The 12,425-nt window shown below is 42.3% G+C and overlaps 1 protein-coding gene across 4 annotated transcripts in view, besides 1 other annotated feature; it reads right to left on the minus strand.

The window, feature by feature from the left end:
* Positions 1 to 12,425, minus strand: part of ADAM17 (ADAM metallopeptidase domain 17) — a 67,345-nt gene that overhangs the window by 54,253 nt on the left and 667 nt on the right. For 3 of the 4 annotated variants that reach the window (NM_003183.6, NM_001382777.1, NM_001382778.1), the window contains exon 2: positions 415 to 547. In NM_003183.6, coding sequence (NP_003174.3) covers positions 415 to 547 — 133 coding nt within the window. Of the gene's footprint in view, positions 1 to 414; positions 548 to 957; positions 1,023 to 12,425 lie in introns of all 4 variants that reach the window. The other variant, XM_047445610.1, reaches the window with a different exon arrangement.
* Positions 12,102 to 12,396: a silencer, noted in NCBI's record as "tiled region #4047; K562 Repressive DNase matched - State 2:TssF". NCBI's record gives its function as "represses a minimal TATA promoter and a strong SV40 promoter by Sharpr-MPRA in K562 cells {active_cell/tissue: K562}" and the evidence as "EXISTENCE:reporter gene assay evidence [ECO:0000049][PMID:27701403]".

Raw genomic sequence — 12,425 nt, forward strand, 5'->3', positions numbered from 1 at the left:
CCCAGTCTGGAGTGCAGTGGCACCATCTCGGCTAGTGCAGCCTCCACCTCCCTGGTTCAAGTGATTCTCCTGCCTCAGCCTCCCAAGTAGCTGGGATTACAGGCACGTGTCACCATGCCTAATTTTTGTACTTTTAGTAGAGACGGGGTTTTGCCATGTTGCCCAGGCTGAGCTTGGGCAAACTCCTGAGCTCAAGCAATCCACATGTCTTGGCCCCCCAAAGTGCTCGGATTATAGGCGTGAGCCACTGCACCCAGCCCCAGTATGAATTTTAGAATAAGCATTATACTGGAAATTAATTACAAATCTTTAAAATGTAATTTCCCAAGATTTCAGTAGATACCCTTACTTTTTTGTTTTTGCCAAACCAAGCCCCCAGTGCCCCAACATTATTCCATGAATAATTCAAATTACCTTTTCAAAGCTGAAAAAGTTAGTAGTGTTTCTACATGTGTTGAAGTCTGTAGATCTCTTTTTCTTACCGAATGCTGCTGGATATTAGATAAAGAGAGAATATCGTAGTCTGAGAGCAAAGAATCAAGCTTCTCTGAAATAAAGGTAAAAAAGGTATTAGCATCTAAACCTAATAATCAATTGTAGTATCGTTAAAATGAGAGTGCCAGACAATAAATCTTTCCTGATGTAATCCATTAGGAAGTGCCAAGCACAAACTATAAATCATTTTTTATCAACAGAAACTCCACTGCCTCTTCCAAAATCAGGATTTTTAGAAGACAAATTGGGTGACTTGAGTCTCTTTAAAAACTGTCTAAAAATATTTGCACTGATGCCTTCCCTTTCTTTCAACAACTATCACTGCAGACACTATGGTATTCAAAATCCTTCCAATGGACTTAGAAGGTCCTCAAAATACAGCAACAGGAGCTTAAAATACAAGTTTATTGCTACTGATGTTAAATATGCTCACAAAACCAGTTTTAAAAGAAAGACTCTTACTCATGTGTGGAAGCTAAAAAAGTGGATCTCGTGGAGGTAGACAGCAGAATGGTGGTTACCAGAGGCTGAGAAGGGAAGTGGGAGTGGTGGAGATGAACAGAAAGTGGTTAGTGTTACAAAAATACAGTTTGATTAGTAAGTTCTAATATTTGATAGTACAGTACAGAAATTATAGTTAACAATTTATTGTATACTTCAAAACAGCTAGAAGACTTGTAATATTCCTAACACAGAAAAGATGTTTCAAATGATGGGTATCCCAATCACCCTGATTTGATCACTACATATTATACACAGGTATCAAAATATCACATGTACCCAAAAAACACATATCACTAAATAAAACAAAAACTCAATTTAACCATACAACTGCCAAGAGACACCCCCCACCTTTCCCAAACCCCTTCTTTATCCTCTACCCAATACCCTACCCTCCTACCCTCCTACCCTAACTGGCTTCCAGAATGCTAGCAATTAGGCCTTTACCTTCCAGAGGAATATGGAAATCTGACAATCTCTAATGAAAAACCTAAGATTCTGATATCAAAAGTTTCCCAAATGAGGCCATGCATGGTGGCTCACACCTGTAATCCCAGCACTTTGGGAGGCCAAGGATCACCTGAAGCCAGGAGTTCCAGACCAGCCTGATTAACATGGTGAAACCCTGTCTCTACTAAAAATACAAAATTAGCCGGGCATGGTGGTGCATGCCTGTAATCCCAGCTAGTTTGAGGCAGGAGAATCGCTTGAACCCAGGAGGCAGATGTTGCAGGGAGCTGAGATTGCACCACTACACTCTAGCCTGGGCGACAGAGCAAGACTCCATCTCTAGGCGGGGGAAAAAAGGCCGGGCTGGGCACGGTGGCTCACGCCTGTAATCCCAGCACTTTGGGAGGCCAAGGCAGGGGGATCACAAGGTCAGGAGATGGAGACCATCCTGGCAAACATGGTGAAACCCAGTCTCTACCAAAATACAAAAAATTAGCCAGGCGTGGTGGCGGGCACCTGTAGTCCCAGCTACTCATGAGGCTGAGGCAGAAGAATCGCTTGAACCTGGGAGGCGGAAGTTGCAGTGAGCTGAGATCACATCACTGCACTCCAGCCTGGCGACAGAGCAAGACTCCATCTCAAAAGAAGAAAAAAAAAGCCAAAAAGGGCTATTTTTTATTCATTACAACATCCTTGCCTCACAATACTCAGCAAAAACCTTGCACATATCAGCACTCACATGTTCACAAACTGCACGAATTCTCAGTGCTGAAATGCAATATGGTCCTTTAGTTCTTCAATTTCCCTGATACAGGTTGGTACATGAACTCAGTTTCATTCAAGATCATAATCACTCCTACTGACTTAGGAACTTAACCTCAACATTATAGTTTCATTGTCAATAATATAGCCCAGTAGTTCTCAAAGTGTAGTTCCCAAACCAGCAGCATCATCATCAACTGGGAATTTGTTAAAAATGCAAATGCTCAGGTCTCCCCTCAGACCTGCTCAAACAGAAATCCGCCCAGTGGGATCCAATAGTCTGTGTTTAACAAGGCTTCCAGGCAAGGCTGACACACTCAAATATGAAAATCACTGAACTGGCTGGGCATGGTGGCTCACACTTGTAATCCCAGCACTTGGAGAGGCAGAGGCGGGTGGATCACCTGAGGTCAGGAGTTCAAGACCAGCCTGGCCAACATGGCAAAACCCTGTCTCTACTAAAAATACAAAAAATTAGCTGGGCATGGCAGCAGACGCCTATAATCCCAGCTACTCGGTAGGCTGAGGCAAGAGAACTGCTTGAACCTGGGAGGCGGAGGTTGCAGTGAGCCGAGATCACACCACTACTCTCCAGCCTGGGCAACAAGGCAAGACTCCATCTCAAAAAAGAAAAAGAAAAAACCACTGAACTAAGCTAAAGGAAGGTAACAACTCAAAGTAAAGAAAAAAACTTTAGCCACAAAGATGTTCATTATTCAGCCTTGCCTTATTTTCAAGGACAAAAACCAGAATGATGGTAAATTAGTAACTGTGAAATGGTTGGATGTTGTAACACTTCCAAAGACAGGGGAAAAAATCTGCAACTATTTTAAATGTCGTTCACAAAAGGTTTTTAAGAACATGGGGCTGAGGGCGGTGGCTCGCTCCTGTAATCCCAGCACTTTGGGAGGTCAAGGTGAGAGAATTGCTTGACCCAAGGAGTTCGAGACCAGCCTGGGCAAAATAGTGAGACCCTCATCTCTCCAAAAAGTAAAAATAAAATTAGCCAGGCATGGTGGCATGTGCTTGTAGTCTCAGCTACTCAGAAGGTTCAGGCGGGAGGATCACTTGAGCCCAGGAGGTCAAGGCTGCAGTAAGCCAAGATAGCACCACTGCACTCCAGCCTGGGTGACAGGATGAGACCCAGTCTCAAAAAAAAAAAAAAAGAAAGAACATGGAAAAATACATATGTTATAATGTTAAATATAGATTTCAGAAATATTCATATTGTATAATCTTAACTATGTATAAAAATAGGTCTAGAAAAAATAAGCACAAGACAGTAACATCATTGGTTATTTTGGGTATATTTTCTATAATAAGCACTTTTTAAATGTAGCTTGCTAAAGCACTTTAAAATACTTAACTAATGCATTTCAACTGCAATTGATTCTCTTTTAATAACTGGATATCTCAAATTGAAGATTCTGAAGCCATTACAAACTATAGTAAAAACAGTTCTTCCTTTGGAGCCAAACTGTAGCTACGTACTACTGCTATTGTGTTTTCACTAACAAGTAACCTCTCAGGTACTCAATATTTCACTGCACTTCACTTCCAAAATTCTAACCACTAGTAATCTCAATTTTTTACAGGCTTTACAACAGAATTTATATTTCTCCCCATTTCCCAAGAGTTTATCTCTTATCCATATCCAATTCTCTCAATAAACTTAAGTATAAACCACCTGCTTCTGACAGTAGAGTTTATTACAGTTAATACCAGACACTGCCGCACTGTCTATCTCAGCTCAGTGTCTGGCCATATTCTTTTTTTTTTTTTGAAATGGAGTCTCACTCTGTCGCCAGGCTGGAATGCAGTGGCGTGATCTCAGCTCACTGCAACCTCCGCCTCCTGGGTTCAAGCGATTCTCCTGTCTCAGCCTCCCAAGTAGCTGGGACTACAGGTGCACACCACCTATCCAGCTAATTTTTGTATTTTTAGTAGAGAAGGGGTTTCACTGTGTTGGCCAGGATGGTCTTGATCTCTTGACCTCGTGATCCACCCACTTCGGCCTCCCAAAGTGCTGGGATTACAGGCGTGGGCCACAGAGCCCAGCCCATATTCTCTCTTTAAAAAACTACAATGGCTGCCTACTTCTCTCTAGAATGAGAGCACCTTCCTTACTTTCTACAAGTTGCCACAGCAGTCATCATTTTGTTATCTTTTTTGTCATCTGCATTTTTTGTTGTTTTTGCTTTTTGTTGTTTTGTTATGTGCTTTTGTTATCTTTTTCATCCCCCTACCCCTCCTTTCTTGCACACACATTCTACACTTATTTTTTCTCTTTTCCACCAGACTCCATTTACTTGATTATTTAACAAATATTTATTGAGAACCTCCTACCTTTCAGGCACTAAGGATACAACACAGAGAAAAAGAAACAGACTTCCAGTATTGTGACACTGGAGGAAAGACCAAAATTATTATAAAGTACATCACAGACCAAGACAGAAGTAGCCACAGAAAGTTATGCACAGACACAGCAGGGGCATGATCCCTGCCTGCTGAGTCAAAGATGTTTTCCCAGGGAAACGGTTTTGAAGACCAGAAGGATGAGGCAGCACCCCAGAGAAGGAAAAGAAAGGAGAGGCCTTAGGTCAAGGGCATAACATATGCTGAATTCCACAAAAAATAGAACACAACACTTAAAGACGTGAAAGCAACTCAATGAGGCTACAGTGCAGAGCAGTACAGAGAGAATATGAAGTGTGAGGCTGGAGAGTCAGGCACTGGTCAGGCCATGAAGGGCTATGGAAGGAAATCAGGGATTCTGGGCTTTGGATAATGGCAATAGCTGTAAGTTGGAAATTTCATTATAGGCCAGCTGTGGTGGCTCATGCCTGTCATCCCAGCACCTTGGGAGGCCAAGATGGGTAGATCGCTTGAGCCCCAGGAGTTCAAGACAAGCTTGGGCAACACAGCAAAACCCCGTCTCTACCAAAAAAATAAATAAAATAAAATACAAAAATTAGCCAGGCGTGGTGGTGTACACCTGCAGTCCCAGCTGCTCAGGAGGCTGAGGTGGGAGGATGGCTTGAGCTCAGGAGGCAGAGGTTGCAGTGAGCTGATATCGTGCCACTGCACTCCAGCCTAGGCAACGAGGCCAGATCCTGTCTCAAAATCCAAAAAAAAAAAAAGAGAGAGAAAGCCAAGGTGGGCGATCACTTGAGGTCAGGAGTTAGAGACCAGCCTGGCCAACGTGGCAAAACCCTGTCTCTGCTAAAAATACAAGATTAGCTGGGCGTGGTAGCAGGTGCGTATAATCTCAGCTACTTGGGAGGCTGAGGCATGAGAATCGCTTGAACCCAGGAGGCAAAGGTGGCAGTGAGCCGAGATCATGCCACTGCACTCCAACCTGGGTGACAGAGTGAGACTCCATCCCCCCCAAAAAAGAAAGAAATTTCATTATGACTGCAGTGTGGAGAATGGGCTAGAGGGGAACAAGACCGGAATGTAGGAAATCTGCTGGTAGGCTGCAGAGCAAACCAAGTAGAAACCACTAAAAGACTCCTAGGTTGTGGCTCACTGTGATTAAAAAAAAAAAAAAGAAAACAAAACAAGAGAGGGGCTGATATCAGGAGACAATTGCATGCTGAAAGATTCTGGAGTTTTGAATGATAGAGCCTTGGGAGAAACAGAAATGAAAACAAAAGATTCTGGAGTTTCATATTCTATTTTGTTCCTTATACACAGTTGCAATTTCATTGCTCATTTACATAGGACTTCCTTTGCATTAAGTCATCATGTCTAGTTGTGTTACTGATGAGCCACATAGTGATTTTCAGCAGGGAGAGTAAATCTATGTTATCACAAGATTCTTAACACTGACATCAGCGGTAAAAAGTAGCCAATACTTTGTTCCTTCTAAAGGTTTCAAAGAAGAATAAAAAGAAAACGGGGCTTTCAGGCCTGTAACAAAATGGCCTTCTGGTTGTAGCTGTGGAGTTGCCTACAGAAGATTAGATAAACCTTCCACTCTCCCACTTCTCTTATATCTGAATTGTTTTGTCTCTGGGATAAGCTTTTATGGCCATTCACTTTAATGCATTGACATAAAGTATATCCATATTTTCTTCATTAAGCCCAGAGCTGACATTTTTAAGCTAAAACTAATCGTGAAACTTTAAAAAATTATGTATATGGCAGGTCACAGTGGCTCACACCTGTAATCCCAGCACTTTGGGAGGCCGAGGTGGGTGGATCACAAGGGTGGGAGTTCAAGACCAGCCTGGCCAACATGGTAAAACCCAGTCTCTACTAAAAATACAAAAATTAGCCAGGCGCGGTGGCAGGCACCTGTAATCCCAGCTACTCAGAAGCCTGAGGCAGGAGAATCGCTTGAACCCGGGTGGCAGAGGTTGCAGTGAGTGAGCTGAGATCACGCCACTGCACTCCAGCCTAGGTGATAGAGTGAGACTCCATCTCAAAAACAAACAAACAAAAATTATGTATATAATTTTGTGTGTATATCAACATATATACACATAAGTATAGTGGTATGTATATAACCGTCCCACACGTATTTAAGAACAATGTAAATAAAGTGTTATATGAGAAGGTTCTGGAAACGTGTGGGTTTTTGTTTTGTTTTGTTTTTGAGACAGGGTCTCGCTCTGTTGCTCAGGCTAGAGTGCAGGGCACAATCACCACTCACTGCAGCCTCAACCTCCTGGGCATGAGCAATCCTCCGGGTGGCTGGGACCACAGGCACATGCCACCGCACCTGGCTAATTTTTGTTTCTATTTTTTTGTAGAGACAAGGTCTTGCCATGTTGCCCAGCCTGGTCTCAAACTCCTGGGCTCAAGTGATCCTTCCCCCTTAGCTTTCCAAAATGCTGAGATGACAGTCGTGAGCCACCGCGCCCAGCTTGTGGATTTTTTACATTAATTTCTTTTATTTTTTCAGCAAATTGCATTTTCCTAAAATACTACTTGAGAGTGTACTGCAGAACCCCAAGGCACTCAGCTCACTCTTCACTGCTCTGCTGCATGAAGTACGAAAAGTTCCCCCAAAATGACACTATCAATGTCATGCTCCTACTTCTGATATCAGAAATGGAAAACATAAAGCCAGTACTGCTGTGAAGTGTTTATTGTGTTTGTGCTGAAGACACAGGAGCCTTCCTCTTCAGCACCCCCCAAAACACACAGGACAGGGAAGCAGGCCACGTGTAGTAAGTGTCAGGTGCGGGTTGTTGGGACTAAGGAATGAGAAAAAGGGAGCAGTGCTCTCTGCTAGGCCAGGGACCCCAGAGCCTGGGAACTAAACAATTTTATGGATTTATACCAGTAAAGGAGGATAGAGTATGAGCTGCTTCAACTAATTCCCTATCAAGAGCTCCTCAACAGACCTGGGACGTAACCTGAGCCAAGACTCTCCAGCAAGACCAGTAACCAGGATGCAAGTTTCAGGTTAGGCAATGAGACTACTTCCACAATTACCAGCAGCCCTGCCTAGTCCTAGGCTAAACCTGTATCCGATACTCATTCTTTTTTTTTTTTTTTTTTTTTTTTGAGATGGAGTCTCACTCTGCTGCCCAGGCTGCACTGCAGTGGCTCAACCTTGGCACACTGCAACCTCTGCCTCCCGGGTTCAAGCAATTCTCCTGCCTCAGTCTCCCCAGTAGCTGGGATTACAGGCACGCACCACCACGCCTGGCTAATTTTTGTATTTTTAGTAGAGACAGGTTTCACCATGTTGGTCAAGCTGGTCTTGAACTCCTGGCCTCAAGTCATCCGCCGGCCTCAGCCTCCCAAAGTGCTGGGACTATAGGTGTAAGCCACTGTGTCCAGCTACTCATTCTTGTAATCAAAAGAATAGGTAACTGGCTGGGGCAGTGGTTCACGTCTGTAATCCCAGCACTTTGGGAGGCTGAGGCAGGTGGATCACCAGAGGTCAGGAGTTCAACACAGGCCTGTCCAATATGATGAAACCCCATCTCTACTAAAAATACAAAAAAAAAAAAAAAAAAAAAATTAGCCAGGCGTGGTGGGGGACACCTGTAATCCCAGCTATTCGTGAGGCTGAGGCACGAGAATCACTTGAACCTGGGAAGTGGAGGTTGCAGTAAGCCAAGATTGCGCCACTGCGCTCCAGCCTGGGTGACAGTGAGACTCTGTCTCAAAAAAAAAAAAAAGGTAACTAATTTTGGACATGTTATATTTGAAGTGCCAAATGGGCAGCTGAATATGAACTCCAGAGAACAAGTCCAGGTCAGAGATACACGTCTAGTCATTAGCAGAACACTGTCAAATGAAGTGAAACCAGTACAACTCATGTAACAACAAAGAAAAAAAAAAAAGGAAGGGGGGGAACGGAGAGATGCCCATTTCCTTGGCTGATTTTAGGAGTAAATAAAGAGATACAGATTGAGCATCCCTTATCCAAAATGCTTGAGACCAGAAGTGTTTCATTCATCAGAATTTTTTAAATTTTGAAATATTTGCATATACATAATGAGGTATCTTGGGGATGGGACCCAAGTCTAAATATAAAATTCATTTATGTTTCATTTATTCACTTACTTTGAGATGGAGTCTTGCTCTGTCGCCCAGGCTGGAGTGCAGTGGCGCGATCTCGGCTCACTGCAAGCTCCACCTCCCAGGTTCACACCATTCTCCTGCCTCAGCCTCCCGAGTAGCTGGGACTACAGGCGCCTGCTACCACACCTGGCTAATTTTTTGTATTTTTAGTACAGACAGGGTTTCACCATGTTAGCCAGGATGGTCTCGATCTCCTGACCTCGTGATCCACCCAGCTCGGCCTCCCAAAGTGCTGGGATTACAGGCATGAGCCACCGCGCCTGGCCTAAACAATATTTTTAAGTAACTTTTTTTGCATGAAAAAAAGTTTGTGTACAACGAAGCATTCGAAAGCAAAGGTGTCACTGTCTCGGCCACCCACATAAATAATCTGTGGTTGTCTGGCATCACCATCATTCCTGACTGATTTTACATGCTACAATAAGTAATCGTTTTGTTATACCTATTCACACATAAGTACTACACAGTAAAAAATATACCACTAACAGTGAAAAAATCGTGTGTTAGGGGTAATGTGTGCTGTCATGCCAGCATTCAAAAAGTTTCAAATTTTGGAGCATTTCAGATTAGGGATGCTCAACCCATATATGAAAAGCCTTTCATTTCACTTCCGTTACCTCAATGAAGCCCATTCCTGTCCTCCTTTCCTATCAATCTTTTTCAGACTTTCTTCACATTACACTTCCAGCTGTATACACTTATTATCTCACAAATAGAAAATGGTGAAGGATCCAAAAATCAACCACAATTGGCCTTGGAGGAAACCTATATTTAATGTTCTAGGAAATCCTGTGAAAGTCAAAAGGATCTCTCCAGTTTCCCCATCACAATTATCTGCTTAATTCCTCTCCATTCTACTCTTGAAATATGGTTTATCTCTTAGACTAATATAAAGCAGAGTTACATTAAATCTCCCTTGGAGCAGTTAGGGCAGTTAAGCATTTAGGTTTCAAAGGAATGCAGCCAGTAAGCAAAATTAACATCAAAAGAGAAAGCCAGATGTCAAAATACTGAGTAAAATGGTGCTGTCAATAATGAAATCAGCACTGCAATATGGAGAATCCCCATGCCAATAACCTCAAGGTAAATTTGAAAATACATGTTTCAGATACAAACTTTCTCATCCCTCATCTGTGACCTATATTTTTTCCTCCCACCCACTACATCCTCTTTTATTAAAAGTAACACAAAGGGAAAACGATTTTGAAATCAAAGTGAGACTTATACACCCCAGCTGCAACTTCAACAAGATATCATCATGACTAAGCTCATATGACTCATAACTTTCCTAAATTATGCAATTCATAACAGTTCAATTGAAATCATTTTTGGTGACCCATAGAGGACTCTAAAAACCAGGCTTCATTTTATTAGGTATTTTTTGCCTTTCAGAAAAATGTTGTCATATGCCTAATCGATATTGAGTACTGCAATATAGTAGTATTTGTAGGACAATAAACATAAAAAATAAATAATAAAGCATGTTTTTCAACTATGAAACTATTTGCTAGTCTTGACCAACTCAATCTAATGGTAAGGTTAAGTAACAAATTATATTGTAAGCTGTCAAACAAACTGAAAAAAAAAGTCATTCTTCAAAAGAAAAATACCCACAAGGCCTATGTTCATCATTGACAACTGACAGCATCTTCCTGAGACTCATTTTCCTCCTCCTTTATTTGAAAACTAGACTTGATCTCTAAGATTCATTTGGTGATAACACTTGCTATAACGTACTCTAGCACTCTCCTCTATGCTGTTTTAGAAGTGTCCTAAATGAATGTCTATTTCCCTATGCTATAACCATTTGAAGATGGATATCGTCTGATCTTTGTATTTCCAATGCCACGTATAATACTTGTGTGTCCTTCAAATATTTCGTTTAAAAAAAAAAAAAGAGGCCGGGCCTGGTGGCTCAAGCCTTTAATCCCAGCACTTTGGGAGGCCGAGGTGTGCTGATCACCTGAGGTCAGGAGTTCGAGACCAGCCTGAATAACATGGAGAAACCCCATCTCTACTAAAAATACAAAAAATTAGCCGGACGTGGTGGCACATGCCTGTAATCCCAGCTACTTGGGAGGCTGAGGCAGGAGAATTGCTTGAACCCGGGAGGCGGAGGTTGTGGTGAGCTGAGATGACGCCATTGCACTCCAGCCTGGGCAACAAGAGCAAAACACTGCCTCAAAAAAAAAAAAAAAGAAAGAAAAAGAAAAGAAAAGAAAAAAGAAAAGTCTATGCATTCTTCTGGCACAGGTGGTCTGCATTTTGCAAATAAAAAACAAACACATGGGCCAGGAGCGGTGGTTCATGCCTGTAATCCCAGCACTTAGGGAGGCCCAGGTGGGCGGATCACGAGGTCAAGAGTTCTAGACCAGCCTGGCCAACATGGTGAAACCCCGTCTCTACTAGGAATACAAAAATTAGCTGGGCGTGGTGGCACATGCCTGTAATCCCAGCTACTCAGGAGGCTAAGGCAGGTGAACTGCTTGAACCCCGGGAGGCGGAGGTTGCAGTGAGCTGAGATCGCGCCACTGCACTCCAGCCTGGGCAACAGAGCAAGACTCTGTCTTGGAAAAAAAAAATGGTCTAAAAAACCTTACGATCTGCAAATGTTATGAATTGATCTAGAAAGTAATGTTTCTCTTTAAACTGTATGCTTCCTTGGGACTCATGCTTATTTTTACCTACGAACAACAGATTAATAACATAAGTGAAACAGTTGTGTCAGGGTGGTGCAAATATAATTTTAATATCTCAAAATACATATTTATTCTTTTTACTAACATTTATCCTTAAAATGAAGACCCTTACCCTATCCCTCCATCCTAACCACAATCCTACCTCAAAATGTCCTTCAATTTGTACTGACTTACCACTTCTCAGCACTTCCTAACAAGATCCCTTGCCTTTCATTAGTCACTTGTAATCCATTTCAATCGGAAAGAATCATAAGACAGCTGTTCAAGTGATAACACTCTCAACACCTTTAGTATCCATACCAATCCATTACAATTTCTGTCCACTAAATATAAAGAAAAAAAATACTACACATGGTATCATGGTGAAATTTGGGAACCAGTACAACCATGCAAGCCTACAATTTCACACACTGGGAAAACATTATTTCACACTTTATTACTAATTAAAGTATCTTACACGTCAATTTTTGAAAGATAAAAGGATTTTAAAATACACTAAAAGTTCACGCAAACTTACTTCCACCAAAGTTCAGATCCCTTAATGCATCTCCATCCTTAAAATCCAATCTCTCTGGAAAATCTAATGAAATAGGAACCCTCTACTTTCTAGCCTCTAAATTCATCAAACTCGTCACTCTTGATAATTTCTTTGTTTAAAAGTGCAAGGAAAGCATTCATAGTGGCAGCATCACGAGTTGGCTTACCAGGTTTCCGCCTCCCCCCATCTCCCAAGCACCTCCAATAAGCTACAATTGAAATAACCAAGAACGTGCTTAGGATGTTCGCAAAAACACAACTCTTAAGACTCCAACTCCAGTCTCCGCCTCCCAACGAGATTACTGCATAAGTACCTCCTACAGCAGAAATTCTAGTTCCCTCCTTCGAGGACCAGGAAGAATTCTGGAGCTTTGGGCCCTTCCTTTCTGGCTCTGGTAGGAACACACAACACTAGATTTGTTCCCTACTAAGGCA

Source organism: Homo sapiens, chromosome 2 (genome assembly GCF_000001405.40).
Source record: "Homo sapiens chromosome 2, GRCh38.p14 Primary Assembly".
Classification (NCBI taxonomy): domain Eukaryota; kingdom Metazoa; phylum Chordata; class Mammalia; order Primates; family Hominidae; genus Homo; species Homo sapiens.